This window comes from Homo sapiens, chromosome 5, assembly GCF_000001405.40.
Source record: "Homo sapiens chromosome 5, GRCh38.p14 Primary Assembly".
In the NCBI taxonomy this organism is placed as follows: domain Eukaryota; kingdom Metazoa; phylum Chordata; class Mammalia; order Primates; family Hominidae; genus Homo; species Homo sapiens.
Window position 1 is genome coordinate 135211720 of NC_000005.10, and position 16761 is coordinate 135228480.

General features: G+C 50.3%; 1 long non-coding RNA gene across 1 annotated transcript in view, besides 2 other annotated features; it reads left to right on the plus strand.

Moving 5' to 3' along the window:
- The window catches only part of PITX1-AS1 (PITX1 antisense RNA 1), a 311407-nt gene that overhangs the window by 178446 nt on the left and 116200 nt on the right, over window positions 1-16761 (plus strand). The window lies entirely within an intron of this gene.
- Window positions 2092-2592: an enhancer, noted in NCBI's record as "H3K4me1 hESC enhancer chr5:134549501-134550001 (GRCh37/hg19 assembly coordinates)". NCBI's record gives its function as "activates a minimal SCP1, AML or CMV promoter by ChIP-STARR-seq in primed H9 embryonic stem cells {active_cell/tissue: H9 hESC(primed)}" and the evidence as "EXISTENCE:reporter gene assay evidence [ECO:0000049][PMID:30033119]".
- Window positions 15778-16278: an enhancer, noted in NCBI's record as "H3K4me1 hESC enhancer chr5:134563187-134563687 (GRCh37/hg19 assembly coordinates)". NCBI's record gives its function as "activates a minimal SCP1, AML or CMV promoter by ChIP-STARR-seq in naive H9 embryonic stem cells {active_cell/tissue: H9 hESC(naive)}" and the evidence as "EXISTENCE:reporter gene assay evidence [ECO:0000049][PMID:30033119]".

Genomic DNA, 16761 nt, shown 5'->3' on the forward strand with positions numbered 1-16761 from the left:
CGCCCCGAGAGGTTCTGATTGAGTAGGTCTAAGGTGAAAAGTTTGCATTTTTACCAAGTTCCCAGGTGATGCTGATGCTGCTGGTCCTGAACTACAACTTTGTGCAGGGCTGCACACACTCACTGAATTCATCTCTGCAGCCCCTTAGTGTTGTATTGTTATTTTCCCTTTGTGGAGGAGGAAATGAAAGCTTAGAGAATTAGGTAACTTGCCCAGGGTCGCACAGCTGCTAGGTGGTGAAGCTGGAATCCCAGTCCAGGTCTGTGCTGTCCAAAGCCATTGCCTTCACCTCTAGCTCTACCATGGTGCTACCTGGCGGGATGAGGTGCTCAGTGAAGGCTGGCTGCAGTTCCTTTGCCTCTCTAGACCAACAACAGGCTTGGGCCTTGATCCAAGATTACAGTTGACACCAAATGGTTTTCATTATTGTTTTGTGATAAGGCAGACCAAATAATACTCAGAAAACTTAGATGAGAAAATCCAGGGTTGAAAGGATGGTAATTGGAGAGATGCCGATTCACTAGTCATAGGCCCTCAAAGCTAGAGGTGGTGGCTTCCTCCAGCCTCCACGCAGTGTCCTGCGATGTCCACAGTGCGAGGGGTCTTCCGGCTGGAAGGCTTCCAGTGGTGGGTAGCTCACTCCCCACTCTGACGCTGGGACAAGGAGGAAGGACTTGCTTCTTAAAGTGGAGGTTGGTTTGATGGAGCCAGCGCAGGCCCGCTGACAGAAGTCACAGCCTTCTGTCTTGCAGTGCCTCTTTACCCAAGTGGGTGAGGAACCTGGTGGCTCAAAGGTCCAACCATCAGCACTGTGAGCTCCACAACCCTGCACAGTCGGTGTGCGTACCATCTCAGGAGGCCTGAGCTCCAGGGCAGCAGCAAGAACCTTCCAGCTGGGCCTGATGGGAAGTGGGGGACTGAGACAAGTGCAGGGTGGGGAGGGCACCTCTGGCTGGGGAACTGGAAGGAGCAGAGAGGAGGGCAGGGGACAGAAACGCAGCTGGCATGCTCACAGTGCATTGTTTGGCCTCTTTCTGTAAACCCTCTCCTCACTCCCTGACCACGTTTCCCCTGTGGAAACTTATTTTCTACTCTGGTCAGACTTTTGGCAGCCTTGAATACGAAGTGTTCTAGAAGGAGGAGCCCCCATCCCCCAGCCTCAGCCTGAGCTCGAGGTTCCTGTGGGGGCATGTTGCCTTCCTTTCTGAATTCTTGGTCCAAACGTTTCTGCAGCTTTCCATGTGAGTTCTCTGGAAGCCAGTTTACCACAGATACTTCAGCCAGGCAACCCCATCTTCAGCCCCCACTGCCACCCCCACTTTTTTTTTTTTTTTGGCTGGCAAGAAGGAGTAAATTTAGGGAGGGCCGTTGTCTGTGTTCCAGCTCCCCCAGTCCTGAGCAGGCCTCGCTTAAGCTGGTACCTTCATCTCAGTGAGCTCAGCCCTAAACTCTCTGGGTCTTAGCTGGATTAAGGGCCTAGGTTGTTGCTGAGGAGGAAGGAGGTACCTCTGTAATTGCTGTTTAAATCTGCCTAACAATAGCCACATGTGGAGCCCGATTTGAGGGTTATTAAATATGAGCGCCCTTCTTCCCCCAAACATGCCTTTGTTTGCATAGCCGGGCAGCATGGGGAAGGGGAGAGACAAAAAGCTATAGAGTCAAAGGGGAGCTTCAGAGGCCCTGTTTCCAGGAAGCAATGGGTCCTTGGGTAGGTCACATTCTGGGGGGCATCAGAACCTGTCACCCGCCGAGCCCTCTCTGCCTGTAACCTCTGAGGTCCCAGGCAGAGGCAGCTGCTTCCGCAAAACTTGTGGGGGTCTCACCCCAGTGCCTGCTCCTGTGTTCGAAGGTCTCATCCCCCTGCAGCAGCCCCCTGCAGTCTTATGGGTGACGCAGAGGGAAGGGTGGGTGCTGTGGAGGGAGCCCTCCGACGTGGCCCCTCTGCAGCAATTTGGGGACAGATGGGCGTGTGCTGCTCAGTGTGTCTCTGGTACCCCTGTCCTACAACATGGGTGAGGGGGAAGAAAAGCGTGTTTGGAAGGCCTGCTGTTGGCTCCTGGCTCTTTTCTCGTGGGGTGTAGGGAAGGCCGGGGAGCTCAGTTTCCCTGCTCTCCATCCTGAGACCTGTGAGCAACTTTGAGTTGCACAGGCTCATTTGGATCATTGCTGTTTTGGAGATGTGCTGGGCACATGTGTGTGTCTGTGTGACAAAGAACTGGGTTGGGTGAAGGCCTGGAGTGAGCATGGAGCTGCCTCTCAACGGGGTGTGATCCCTGGGAGGATGCAGCTAGCTACCTAGGTTCCTGCGTGGCTCTCTTGTTTGGGTGCTGTGCTACTGGCTGCAGCTGTGGGGCCTCCTGATGCGAAGGTCAAGCAGCAGCAGCTGGCTCCAGGACCCTGCCAGCAGGACAGCAGGTGTCGGCTGTCTCTCCTGGGAGCACTTACCCACTGGCCACCACAGCCACTCTAGGTGAGCCCCAGGACAGACCCGCTTCCCTTTGGAGGGTCCTCACCTGTCACTCCCCAGACACGGTGGCTTTGTCAACCATGGAGAGTAGAATTAAAATCCTGCAGAAAGTTGTCTTTATAGGTGACAGATTCCTTGATTTTTGCTTTAAAGTATAAATTTATGCTAATTTGTAAGCTAGATTATTAAAGTTAAAATCTAGAAAAAGAACCTAAAGAATAAATGATGAAGACAAGAACCGACAGAGAAATTACATTTGTACCATATGATAGATGAAGAATATACAAGAGTTCTTACAAATCGGTAGAACTTTCTTGTTTGTGACGATGTGGGGGTAGGAACCCTCATGTAATGCAGGTGAAAATGGCCACGGCATCTCTGAAAGGTGCTTTGGCAAAATGTATTAGATATATTTAAACTATACACAAAGCTTTATCTTTTCTCTGTTTCTACAAAGGTATGCTTCTTACAGACTCTTCTCCCAGGTTTTTTTCTTTTTGCTAATGAGCAGTTGAATTTTCCTTCTGTGGGATGCAGTTGTGTGTTATAAGTTTTACTATATTTATAATTTGTATTGAAATGCTGCTACAGATTTTTTCTACCCTGCCCATAGCCCACGTTATTAACATTTCTAACAGCACGTTAGTACCAGGCTCTTCTCAAATAGAATTAAATGCTAGAGTGGGGAGGGGGTTGGAGGAGAAGGGGGAGGAAGAAGTGTGGGCTTTGGTATTAGGTAAGGGTTTGAATCCTAGCAGTGTACCTTTCTTCCTGTGTGGTTTTGGGTAAGTTACCTAACCTCTCTGAGCCTTAGTGTTGTATCTTTCACCTGGGACTAGTGTTCACCAAGGGCTATTGTTGCGATAATCAAAGGAAGGAGTGTGGATGAAGCCCCTGAGCGCTGTGCCTGGGAATACTTGGTGAATGGAGCTATTGTTACTGGGTGTATAGAGTTCCTGTGACTATGACTTAGTCACCTGGGTGCAGGGAGCCTCTCGGTTCGGTTCCTCAGGTCCAGTCCCCTACCTCTTGGCAGCACTGGATTCTAGGCATCCCCAGAGATAGCCATCTATCTTACCCTGTCTCAGAAACCCCCAGGGGAAGGGAAGCCCAGACTCCTGCTTACCCAAGCCTTTCAGCCTGCCACCCTCAGAGCCAGGGACTTCTCCTGAGTGTCTACACTTAAACCCCATTGCCAGATTTGAGGCTTCCTTCCTCTGTTTCCTCAGGGAGAGAAGACAGATTTCCCTCATGCAGGAAGACGTCTGACTCTGTGGCAAGCAGCTCTATGTTGCAATCTCCCTGTGAAATCGCCTCATAAGAAGAGTTAAAAGGAGGAACTAAAGGAGGCTGTGGAGAGAGACATGTGCCCTATAACATCCTGAAGGACCATAGGGCTGGATATGCCTGCATCTTCCTGTGGGACTCCGGTACTTAGCTGGCCCCTCCATGTCTCCCTCTGCATGGCTGTCTCAAAGGGATCTGAGACAGCCATGGTCATGGCTGCACTCCTGACCCTTCCACCCAGCATAGCACAGTCACCTTGCCTCTCTTCCAGTGTCTCCGTCTCAGGGGCCACCTGGGAGGCATCCCTGACATGCCCTCTCTCTAGCCCCCATGTCCAATCCATCCTGAAGCCTTGTCAGTTTTATGTCCGACAGCTCCTTAGTCCCTCCACCTCTGTCCATCATCGCTGCTGCCACCTCGGTCCAGTCACCTTTACCTCTCATCTGGACAGCACATCCTAGCTGGCCACCTGCTGTCACCTTGATCTTACCTTGCTCTTCTGCAGTCCTTTCTCCACTCAACACCCAGAACCATCTGTTCAAAACCCAAGACTGATCATGGCTCTCACTTTCTTAAACCTTCTAATGGCTTCCCACTTTTCTTTGAATGAAGACCAGACTGCTTAGCATGACCTATGAGCCCTCGTCTGTTATCACTCTGCCCCTTGCTCTCTGCTGCCCAGGCACTTTTTGCTTTCCTTTCTCAGTTCCTCAAACATGCCATGTTCTCTCCCATCCCAGGGCCTTGACACATGCCCTGGCCTCTTCCTGGACCTCTTTCTGCTCTACCCCTTGTTGTCTGGTTAACTGTCGCTGATCCTTTAGATCTCAACTCCTGCAAAGCCTCCCCTCAGGCTAGGTCAGGTGTCTTTATCGGGAGCTCTTCTGGAACTGAGTTCCTTTCCTTCAGGATCCTTAGGTGCCTTTGCAGTTAGATATTCATTAGTGTGGCTATCTGATTGATATTTGTCTTGATCTTTGCCTCCCCCCCATCCCCCCCCCCCCATGCTCTGGGAAAGCAGGAATTGTGTTGGATTTGCTGTCCATTTCACCCATGCCTAGCATAATGCCTGGCACACAGCAGATGCTCCATCTGCACCTGTGCAATGAACATTGCTCTCTGAGGTTCAACAAGGACCAGAGCTTTTCCAGCCCCCACTTTGGGGATTATCATGGAGCCCATGCCCACTTTCCCTGGCATCCTTTCTGTGGTCAAACATGCCCCCCACCCCCCATGATCTTTGGGGTTGGGTTTGGAGTTTGGAACAGCCATGAGCCAAGGATCTGGTGCTTTATGCAGGGCAGTTGTCAAGTCCCAACTTAATGAGTAGCTCTGAGCTTCTGAATGGCTGGGTGTACTCAGAGCCTTTGTGAATGGGATTATACTCAAATGCTAGAAGGGCTTTTGCTATTTATAAGAACTCTGGGATAAAGAGAAAACAATCCTTTGGTAAAACAAATAATTACCAGCAAACAATTGCCAGCTAATTTGTCCCTTTTGTGACTTCAGTTTATTATAGGTACTAAAAGAGCTTTGCCAGCCACCTATTAGAGAAATGAGTGACATTTGCTGGCTAAAAAGTCTTTGTGTGAGTAAGCTCAAGGGGTCTGGTGGTAATGATGTCTTATTGGTCAGCTGGCTCTCCCTTCCAAGTCTCTGAAGTGATGTAAAGGCCATTAATAAATTGTCACTGTTTACTACCACCCCCCCTCCACCCTGCCAGGCTATTGGACAGCCAGTTCTTTTTCCACATTCCCCTTCCTCCCTGTTCCAGCTAAATAATACCCTCTGGCAGCCCTAACTTGTCAGTATTGTTGGGTGACAGTGGCAATTTGACTGGCAGGTGGTCTATGGGAAGAGTGGCCTGAGTTTTCCTCCCAGCTTTGTCACTGGCTTGCTATGTGAGCTGGAGTGTCGCTTCACCTAGCTGACCTCAGTTTCCCCTACCTGATGCATCTCTTCCAAATGTGTAGGGCTTACCCTAAGATAGTGGATTAAAGTGCTTTGAAAAGTCCAACATAATTCAAATCCAGGGAACCCTGAAGATTGAAATCTACCAGTTGGCACATTGCTAACTTTCCAGTGTTACAACTTTTCAGCACTTGGTCTTCTGTTCCAATGTGACCACCTTGCATAGGTTCACCTTATGTCCCTGGGCCTCAGTTTCTACACCTGTGAAATAAGATGGGCTGATTCTGGATTGGTGAGTAGGAGAACTAGATGCTGTCATTTTTCTCTTCTCCCACAATTAAGGCAGCCATCGCTAGTGAACTCCAGGGATGCAGTACTCCTCAACAGAGCCCCCTGGAGGGCCAGCCAGGGTTGCACCTGGGGCCAAGCTGTTCGCCAGTTGTGGGGAGTGAATCTTCACAAATCATCGGGAGGTACAGTTGAGAATCGAGGCCCAGTGACACTAAGTGACTCGCCTGCCATTGAGGAGTGAGCACCTCTCTGGATGCTGTTGGGGGAGGCAAGAGGTGTTGCCCATCTCAAGTGATGGGCAAGTTTGGGACACATGAGAGGGGCCCAACTCAGGGCCAATGTGGGCCCGTTCCTATGTGTGTTTCAGGGGCATCACCTTTCCTCCTGCCCACCTCAAAGGTGGCTTTTGACTTTGTCCTCTAACTGAGGTAGCTGGGTTTGTGTCTTTTGACCTCCTGCCTCCTCTTCTAGGGTAAACAAGGCAGACCCCAACAAGAATCTTGCCAGTCCCTGCAGGAGCAGATTAGTGGCCATATCCCTTTCTGGGGTCGGGAACCTGAACCTCTTTCCTGGAACAGGTATTTGGGGCTGGGTGCCCTAGGAAGTGCTGTCTTTTTGAAGTAAGCTGGTTTCTCATATTTCGAGGTGCTCTTCCTCCCAGAGTACCCTAGGCAGAGGGTTATTTGGGTGTTGGGGGGGATGAGTTATGGGGCAAACGCGCTGCTTTGTGAGCATTAGGAAGTGCAGGTGAATGGGCTGGAGCTCTCCTGTCCTCCTTCCTGTGTTGGATAGCCTCTGCTGCGAGGGGTGGCTGGGGGTTGAGTGGGGAAGGATGGGGCCTGAGGAGCTGGGAGGGCAGGGCGATGTGCTGGGCTTGGGCTTCTGAGGGCAGCAGGCCCACCTGAAGCCCCCAGCTGTGTACAGTGGGGCTGGGCTTGGAGGCAGGGGCCTGCCTCCCAGTTCAGGACTCAATGGCTCGAGTTCCCACGAGAGAGGCAAAGGTCTTCTTTTGGTCTCTGTCCCTCTCTCATCCCATTCTCTATTTTATTTACATTTTGCTTAGGACATTTCATGAAGACATTATACAGCCAAATTCCCAATGTGACCTCCAAACATCAAACATATGTATTCCCCAGCCCCTCCCCAGGTGTTTCCCTGGCGGCCACAGGCCCCTGTTTGTGAATTCTGGGCATCTCCAATAGGCACTTTCCTCTGACCTGGTTACGCTGTTTAACAAATTCATTTGGGGGTGAGCTCAGAGATGAGGATTGGAGAGGAGAAAGAATTGTCTTTTCTTCTTAACTGTCCCCAGGACGCCCTGAGCAAGCTTGGAGGATTCTCACTAATCTAATCCCTGTCAGAAAAGGAACGATAAAACAATTCAGGCTTTAGAAGCCAAATCCCCTTCCTGCACTCATACTATTTCTATATCTCTGCCTTACCGTTTTTCTCCTTTGCAATGAAACTGAGCTTCGGTTTCTCAGTGAGGGTTTCAGTGGATAAGGATTTCATATTTCACTCTTCCATTTTTCGTATTTAAATTTGCTTTACTCTCCAGTTTGACTTTCCACTGACCCTTGAAGAATTGGCGTATTTCAAGGAGGGGGAAAAGATCTCATTATAGGAAATGAGAAAAATGGAGCAGAGTTTTAAAACTTTTAATGACTAAAACACAGTGTTCCCAGTCGGTATTGTATTGGGGTTGAAGTCACTGTTTGGTTACAAGTCTTTTAGGTCTAAACGGGGTTGATGACATCTGTTTAATTTTAGATGTCTGGAATACATTCGGAAAATAATGAAATCCAAATGTATGACCAAATTAGAGAACAATTTTATCTGCGACAAAGAAGTTTTTAAAATAAGAACAACTATTTCGACCAAACAAAGCTTTAAAAGACCCATCAAATCTTTGGTCATCTCGCCTTGTCTTTTCCCAGTGGGTCTCCATGGTTGAGAGAACATTGATTTTCTCGGTGTGTGCCTCAGACATTATTATGTAATTTTATACCCATTTTCCCGTCGTTTCTCTGGGCATGCGTTCTGCTCTGTGCCATCAGCCCTGGAGAGACCACGTTCAGGGAACTGAGGACGCTTTATGGGAAAGCTCCTTTGATAAAGCAAAGGTCTCCTGTCACAACACTCGAGGGCCACCTATCACCTGTTTCATAGTGACCCAAGCAACTGTGGGAAAAGTCCTGGGAAGATAAAAAAAAAAAAAAGTGCCAAGGCCTTGCCAATGGGGCATGGCGCTACCAATGGACATCAGGAGAAAGCAGTATTCCCAACTCTTATCGTGCCTGTGTGACCTGGCAGTGGGCCAGTGTGACCCTGTGTGACCCTCTATGCCTGTGTGACCCTCTATGGGCCTCGCTTGCCCAATCTGTATGAAGAGCTCAGGCACTCAGGGATCCTGAGAGGCTGGCAGGGGTTGGCCTCTCTCCAGGAAGATTCTGATGTGGTGCTGAGGCACTGCTACTGGGATGTGCATTAAGCAGTTCCTCCCATACTCCCTGGAAGCCCAGCATCTGGGATGATGTGGAGACTCTGGTCACATGGGTCTCCTTTATTGTCCCTACCCCAGGAAGTGCAACAAGGGTAGTGTCAGCAGACAGACATTCTCAGAGTCCACTCCACTCCAGACCAGGTCCAGTGTTCAGCCATATCCTTCATCCTTGGTGGGACTTTCATGTACAGATAGAAAGTGAATTATGGGCAAGGCCTTGCCTGATGCCTTAAAACACTTGGCTACTAGGCAAGGTAATTCCATCCCTCCAGGGTATTTGAGCCTTCCAAATGTTTGCAGACTCTTATCCTGCCCTGTCCCATCCCTCCAGTATTGGCTGAAGCCTTTCCCCGAGAACCAGCCCCTTCTGTGTTGAGGTGCCCCACCCCCATTCAGTGCTGTTTGGTCAGGCTCAGTCGTCCCAGAGTCAGCTTCCTGAACCACTGTCCCATGGAGAATGTCTGCACATTTCACTCGAGACTTGGGCTTGTTCGCCAGATGTCCCAGAAGTGGAAAAAGGTGTCCTAAGTGCTTGCCCTTGACTAGTGACCACAGATAAGCCTGGAGATGGGGATGATACACTTGTGATGCCCAGGCTATGCCTGGGTAAAGCTGGGTCTTGGCAGGGTCTCCAGCCTGGGCCGACCTCTGCAGAAATGAGCGGGCTGAGTGGCTGGCTGCATGAATAGAGGGGTGGAAAATGCTGAGGGGTACCCAGGCCCACCTAGAACTCTGGGCTGGGGTCTGTGTATTTTGTTAGCCCCTTGCCTGTGCCATCTGGCCCCTTCTTGATGCCCCACCCAGCTGGGGGGCATCATTGGCTGTGCTCTAGGAAGGGTTGAAGGATCATCTGATTGCTGTGATATTTGGCAGGTATGTTTCAGTACATTCATGGGGGCTTCCAGAGGATCCCAGAGGCCTCGTGGTCAAGGGCCATGGACTCTGTTTTCTCATGGTCAATGGGCTGAGGTTAGCAAGGAGAGAGGTACAGGAGAGGGCAGAGTGGTACATCCAACAACTGGTAGTTGGTGAGGAACTGTGGTTCTGTGGTTCTACGGGAAGCTAGGGTGGAGTTTCATTCAGGCCTGGGAGGTGGTGGGTGGAGATCATGGAGCACTGAGCTGGCAGTCAGGAGACATGGCCCCTGCCTCTGAAGTTCCACGTGACCTTGGGTGAGCCAGAAGCCTCGCTGGGCCTCAGTTCACAATCTGTAAGATGTGGAGATGAATACCAACCTGAGAGGCTTGTGGTGAAGCCCAGATAATAACATGGATTTGAAAACAATGATAAAGACAGCACATTGTGAAGAAGTTTTAATTTTGTTTTTACCAATGGAGATATAAAAGGGGTAGTAATGATAACAGCCAGTCCATTTCTGTTGCTTTTTTCACTCATTTAGGACAGAGGAGTTGAAAGAACATGGAGTTAGGGGTCAGGCTGTTGGATTTCTAGTTTTTCCTTCCTAACTGTTGTGTGGCCATGGGCAAGTTCTGCCTGTCTTTGGTTCTTTGTGTCCCTGCCTATCAAGAGGGACCAGCAACTCCCACCCCTCTTTCTCCCCTGGGCTACTCACATGCCAGTGGGTGGTGTGAGCAAGCTCTTTTACAGGCTGGGAAGCACTTGGGAGTGGCATTGATGGTGTTGGGCTGGCAGTGATGGTTTTGGTTGCTGGGAAGGGTGTTCAGGCCTTGGTGCCAGATTGACTCCAGGGGCCATGCATACCTTGCAGACTGTTCCAAGCTGGATATTTTCCTGTGGCCCAGGTATAACCTGCCAGGCAACGAGGCTGTAGGGTTCAGTCTCTAATTCTTTGGCTGGCAGTCAAGGGCTGGGTGGACGAAAGGTTTGTCAATGTGGCTGTAATTACAGCTCTTACTTTTTGGATATTAAGTGTAGCTTAATGTAATAACTATGGTACAATTGACCCAGCATGTAGGGCTGTGTCTAGCTACTTGGTAGGCTGAGGACATAAAGATGCACAGTCACATTTTACTAAATACATATCAGAAGGAACCCTGGGGCCAGGCTTGGTGTGCTGAGTTTTAGCTGGCATTGTCCCTCCGGAAGGGGCCCTGTGCAGGCCTTCCATCCCATTGTCCAGATCACGTTCCATGGGCTGGGCCTGGGGGTGGTGCCCAGATCTGGTGCTGGCACTCAGGGTGTGTGGGCCATCTGTCTTCTCAGTGCCTTGTGTGTCAAGGGGTGAATCAGTTCCCTGCCTGCCACCCTACATGGGAGGAGCTTGGGTTCAGCATAAGTAGGTTCCATGATTTGTAATGTCACCTTATCATGAACTGACTCAAGGCCCTGTCATTTGACTGAGAAGGAATGCAGGGCAGAGGAGGTGTGGCTGTTTGAACCTGTTGGTGGGATTAGCAGAGACAGTGTTGAGTTCTTAGTCTTGAGATCTGTTGGCTCCACTTGGCCCTGGTTCAGGAGGAACATGCGTGGAACCCTTGTTCTCCCCGAGGCCTGCTCCCAGACCCTATGATGGCTCCATAGTATCCACAACATCTCGATTTCATTGAGCAAGTGCTGTGTGCCAGGCCCTCCTTACATGATTATTTCCTTCAAATCATCACAATAACCCAAGAGGAAGGTGCTGTTCCTAGCTCCATTTTCCAGATGAGTAAACTGAGGATCAGAGAATTGAAGAGACTTCTACATAGTCCCCTGGCCATAAATGGGGGAGCCAGAATGTGGGCCCTGCCTGTCTGACTGCAGAGTGGGTAATCCCAAGCTCAAGGCTGCCTGCCTGGCAGTCCCCTGGCTGAGGGGAGGTGTGACCCAGGGCCACACACAGGTCTGAAGGGGTTTTGCCTGGTCGTGGGAAGGTAGAAGTGGCAGCTGAGGCTGGGAGATCAAAGATGGCCACTAAGATTTCCACTCTCTTCACCCCCAACCCCAGGCCCTCACATTATTCGGAACACTCAATCTTCACCATGTTGAGCCTCGTGGGAAAGACCAGGGTCTTATGGGAGGTAGGTGGGTCGGGGAGGAGGGATGCAGAGATGGGAGGAAGCAGACATTCATGCCATGGTGACTGAATGTCAGATCTAAGCCAAGCACTGTGCTAGATGCTGGGGCCATAGCCGTGAGCATGACAGACAAGGTCTTGTGCCCTCCTGGGGCTTCTATTCTGGTGAGATGCAGACAGCACACACACATATAAACAAACACGAAGATTGTCAGGGGTGAGAAGCATCCTGTAGAGCATTAAACCTGGGTGATGTGATGGGTGGTCAGGCTGGCTTCCCCAAGGAGGTGACATCTCAGTGGAGATCTGCATGGCAAGGAGTCAGCTGTGAGAAGATCAGGACAGAGCATTACAAGGAGACAAAGAAGCAACTGCAAGAGCCCTGGGGGTGGAACAAGCTTGGTGTGTTCAAGGAGAGAATGGACCATGAAATCCAGCTGGGCGTGGAATCCAGAAGGGAGTGGCACATGGTGACATTGATGAGACAGGCAGGGTTCAGATCCTCCAGGGCTGTCCTGGCCAATGTCTGGAAGTTTGGATGTCATCCAAGTACAATGGGATGGCGATGGCAGTGACATGATTAGATTTGTGTTTAAAAAGACCCCTTTGTTGAATGAACAATGAATTGTAGGGAGCAAAGGTGAAGACAGAGAGGTCATAGGAGGCTATTGTGGAGTCTAGGTGAAAATGATGATGGTGTAGGCTCACGTGGGACAGTGGGGAGGGAGAGAAGGGATGGATCCAGGTGTGTTTTGGAGGTAAAGTCAGTAGGACTTTGATGGATCGCCACTCTATCCATCCAATTGCTCAAGCCAAGAGCTATTCCTGACTTCCCCCTTTCTTTCACCCCAACAGCTGTTTGCTGAGATGGAGGAGAAGAGGAAGTGCAGGTTTGGGGCAGTGGGCAGTGAAGATCAGTCTGATTTGAGAGGCCTATTAGACATGCAAATGCTGATGTCAAGTTGGTTGTGCTGAGTCTGAGAGGAGAGGCAGGGGTTAGAGACAGACCTGTTGCAACATGGCATGGCAGTGGCACAGGACTAGGTGACACCTAAAGCCACAGGACTAGATGAAATGGATGGAGAGAGGAGACAAGTGAAGAGGTCTCAGAGGAGTAAGCCCTCAGGCAATGCAGAACTTGGATGTGGAGGAACCAGTAGGGGAGCCTGCGAAGGTACAGCCAGGGAGCTGTGCAGTGTTTCGGGAGGCAGGAGAAAGGACGTGTTCATGGGAAAGACTGTTGAGAGTTGGCTTGGACCTCAGTGAGAGCCAGTTTGGTGGAGTGGTGGAGATGAGGCCTGATTCGGGAGGGTGGAGAAGAGATGTCAGATCTACACAGTTCTCAAGGGGTTTTTGCCAAAACAGGAAGCATGGAAATAGGGTGGCAGCTTGAGAGGGATGTGGGGGTCAAGGCAAGGTTTTTTAAGATTAGGGAGAAATCACAGCAAAACTGTAGGCTGATCCAGGGGACAGGGGAAATGTAATGATCCAAAGAGAGTGGGGACACGGACAGGAGAGATGACTGAGAGGGTGTGGGAGGTGGGTTAGGGTGTGCAGAGTCAGGGGCCAGCTTGATTAGGAACAGGGATGCCATCTTCAGGCCTGGTCCCTGGAGGGAAGGCAGAGAGGAGAGGATTTGGTGGAAGGACCCTAAGGCTCTTAGGGTCTCTGCCTAAATATCTGTCCCCAGACCAGACCTCTCTCCTGATCCTCCTGCCCATCTGTCTCCTGACATCTCTGGCCAGGTGCCTGTGAGCACACATGTCCTTTTCCACCTGTGCAGGTCATTTGACCCACTTCTACTGTCTTCACTGATTCAGCCCATTCTTCCCCAGCCTGCCTCTTGTACCCTTCCTCCAAGGGGCCTTCCTAGGTTACTTCAACCCACAGGGCTTTCTTTCTAGCTGAGGTGCTGGAGCCTGTGGGAGGGAGGCTGCCTTGTCACATCTTTTATGCTACCATTATGAAGCTCTCTGCAGCTGGGGAGCATGCTGTGAGTTTGTGGAGTCAGAGAGAAGTTGGGGGCTTAGGCTCTGGAGTCTCACTGACCTTGGTTCAAGTCCGAGGTCCTTACTAATTGTGTGACCTTTGACAGCTTAAAAAAACAAAAACTTCTCTGAGCCTCAGCTTCCTCATCTGTAAAGTAGGACAGGATTTATCTCTCTGGCTTTTGGTGGAGGTTTAATGAGATCATGCATATCCATTGGATTGGACACATTAGCTATTGAGTGCTACTAGCTCAGTACATCTCATGGGTCTCAACGTTATCCAATGTTATTCTGTCCCTTCCATTTCTTCAATGGGATCTTAGGGAGTCACGTGAGTTTTCCATGCCTCAGTGTCCTCATGTGAAATATAGGGACAATAATACTCTCCTTAGAGGGCTGCTGAATTTAATGAGTTGAGGTGTGGAAACAGCACGTAGTAGGTATTTAAGAAACAGCCTGCTGCTGACAATGATGAAAATACTAGTTACTGCTTACATTCCTGTTTCCCCCACAGAACGCCGAACCCCTGGAACTGTGGAGCCACCTCTGCTCTGTGTGGCAAAGGTGACCTCCCTGTCCTCTCTGGTTAGCCTCTTCGCACATTTACTTCTCGCAGTTTCCCACGGACCCATTCATCTCTGGCTGTAAGGTTACAAGGCTTTGGAAATTAATTTTAAAAATCACACTCTCTGACCCTTTAAACTTCATTTCAAATCCCCTCAGTGCCTTAATGACGCTCAGGCTATTTCGGGCCCCTGGGAGAAGTGTGGCTGACAGTGGCTTTTTAATTTACAAGACAACATAGGAACACACATGGGCCCAAATATGTATCTGTATAATGAAGAATAAAAAGCATAATCCCCTAAGTGGGCTGTGTTAGTGAGCATCAGGTTTAATAGGGGATTAGGAGGTGGAATTAAAGTTGCCCAGGGGGTACACAGGGAGACTTCAAACACCTTTTGGAAAACAAATTAACGTGGTTTGCAAAAACCGTTTTCCAAGGGCGGCAGAGGGTTTTCCTTGGGCTTCCCTGCTTTCTTTTGAAATGTATTTTTAACACTTGTATAAACACTTTGGGCCCGTGACATGGGGCTTCCTGTGCTCCCTTCGTTAGCTGGTGTCTCTGGGAGAAGAATTCGGCTCATTATCTGGGTGTTTTGATCTCCATGACTGCCGCTGCTGCTGCGCCCGGCCCGGGGCGGGCCACCCTTTTTCTTTCCTGTTGCCTAATGGTATGGAACCAGTTCGTTTGTGGCTCAGCCTGCTTCCACATCTTCCTGCCAAGCCTGGCCTCCCAGAGGGGCTCTCAGTTTTCTAGAGAACCGGAGTTCTTGGGCAGGAGCAGTAGTGGCAGCTGGGTGGCTGGAGTCTGGCCCTGTCTTAGGCTCAACTGAGAAACTGGCAAAATCGGCCTTTGTACCAGCCTCCCTGACCCCTTCACTTATTTCCCCTTCCCCTCTCTTCAGGTGCATCTGGAGTGGAATGTGAGGCCTCTGTAGGTACTGAGTTCCCCATCCCTGGAGGTATTCAAGCAATGTCCTGGTGGAGGTTTTAAGGGCCTCTGTGAGCAGCTGTGGACCTGGATGGTCATTAGAGTTTCTTGTAAACCTGAGATTCTGTAGTTTACACTTTACAAGTGGAATCTGAGCAGGGCCATGCTGGCCCTTGATAGCAACAAGGATCCCTGTGATAGAAGACGCAGTGCTGGGCTCCAAGCAGACCTTCAGGAACCCCTGTTCTACTGTCCTTGCTGGAGACAGAAGAGACACAGGCTTTTCTCTTTGGGAGGCTCCAGGCTTAGGCTCACCCACAGCATTTCCTTTAGAGATTTGATCCTGCAGAGACTTGGGACAAAAACTCCAAATTATGTCTACCCAAGTTCCCTTTTAAAGTCCACTTTCTTCCTGTGTAAAAAGGGGGCAATAAATAATAACAGCTAATACCTATTAGGCACTTGTGTGTCAGACACAGCTTGAAGTACTTAATCACTTATTTCATAACTTCTTAGGAAAAGGTACTGTTTTTTCCCCCATTTTACAGAGGAGGAAACTGAGGCCCAAGGAGGTCAGCCAACTTGCTGAAGGCTACACAGCAAGTAAGTTGTGAATAATAACATCTGCCAGTTGCTGGGGATCTGCTGAGCTCTTCACAGGAAGGTGGAGGTGCCCCCTTGACCACGCTGGGTTCTGCTGCAGTCCAGCCCTCCTAAGAGGTAGAAATGACATTAGTCCCTCCCAGCCTTGTCCCTCTTCAGCTGCCCAGGGCTGGCAGGAGCCAAGCAGTGAGAGTGGCATTTCTCATCCCAAAGACAGCAGAGCTCCTGCGGCCTGGCCAGCCAGTGGCATCTGGGCTGGGCTGATGGGGGTTCACATTCTGGACGTTTCCCTTACCTTTGCAAGTGGGCTGGTGGTTGGAGGTGAGCTTTGTGAGGCTGATTCATGCCGAGTTCACATAAGGCCACATGTCCCACATGCTGTATCTCCCTCCTGCCACTGTCAGGAAGGTGCCTGCAGGTGCGTGAGGCCAGAAGGAGGGAGCGTCTCTATCCTAGGAAGGAGTTTTTTCTGTTATTTTCTTGTCTGTCTAGTCCATGGGTAAGGGCATGAGTGGTCCTGGTAGCTTTGTCAGCCCTGTAATCCTGCTTCTCATGAAGCTGCATGTAAATCCTGTCCCCCTCTCTTCACCCCTGCCCCTCACCTGCCAGCTGTCTGCTCTGCTCTCACAAGGGACTCTGGTCTCATGTCACAGAGCTACAGTCACCAGGGATAGGCTGCCAGGAGGGAATAGGACATTTCTGCTGGGTTCACAGATCTGGCTTCACAAAGGAGGTGGAATTCAGGCTGAACCTTGAGGCATGAAAGAATTTTTGCTAGTAGAGAAGGGGCTGTCATTGTCTGATCCCATCCTTGGAAAGCACTGTGCTGAACTTGCAACAGCTATGCTTCTATTTCATGTTCATGAAGGCCTGTGTTGCTGTCTGCCTGTTATAGGTGAGAGAACAGAGCAAGCAACTTGCCCAATGTTCCACAGATAGATCTGAACCCAGGATGGAAGCACCCTCATGTTCTCTCCCCTCTGGCAGCAGGGGGGAAGCATGAGCTTCCCAAGGAGGCTTGGGAAGACCTGGTGTGTTGGCTGAACAGCTGGGAGGGAGAGGGTGGGAGAGAGGATAACGGGACTTGAGACTGGGATTGGTGGTGGTGGAGGGGGCTAGGGTGATATGTGCCCAGAACATCAAAGACCTCATTTAGTGGTGTGTTGGTAAGCATTTAACAACCAGCTGCTCTTCAGGAAAAAAAGTAGAAAAGTCTCTGATGTGAGGCATTTGCCAATTTCC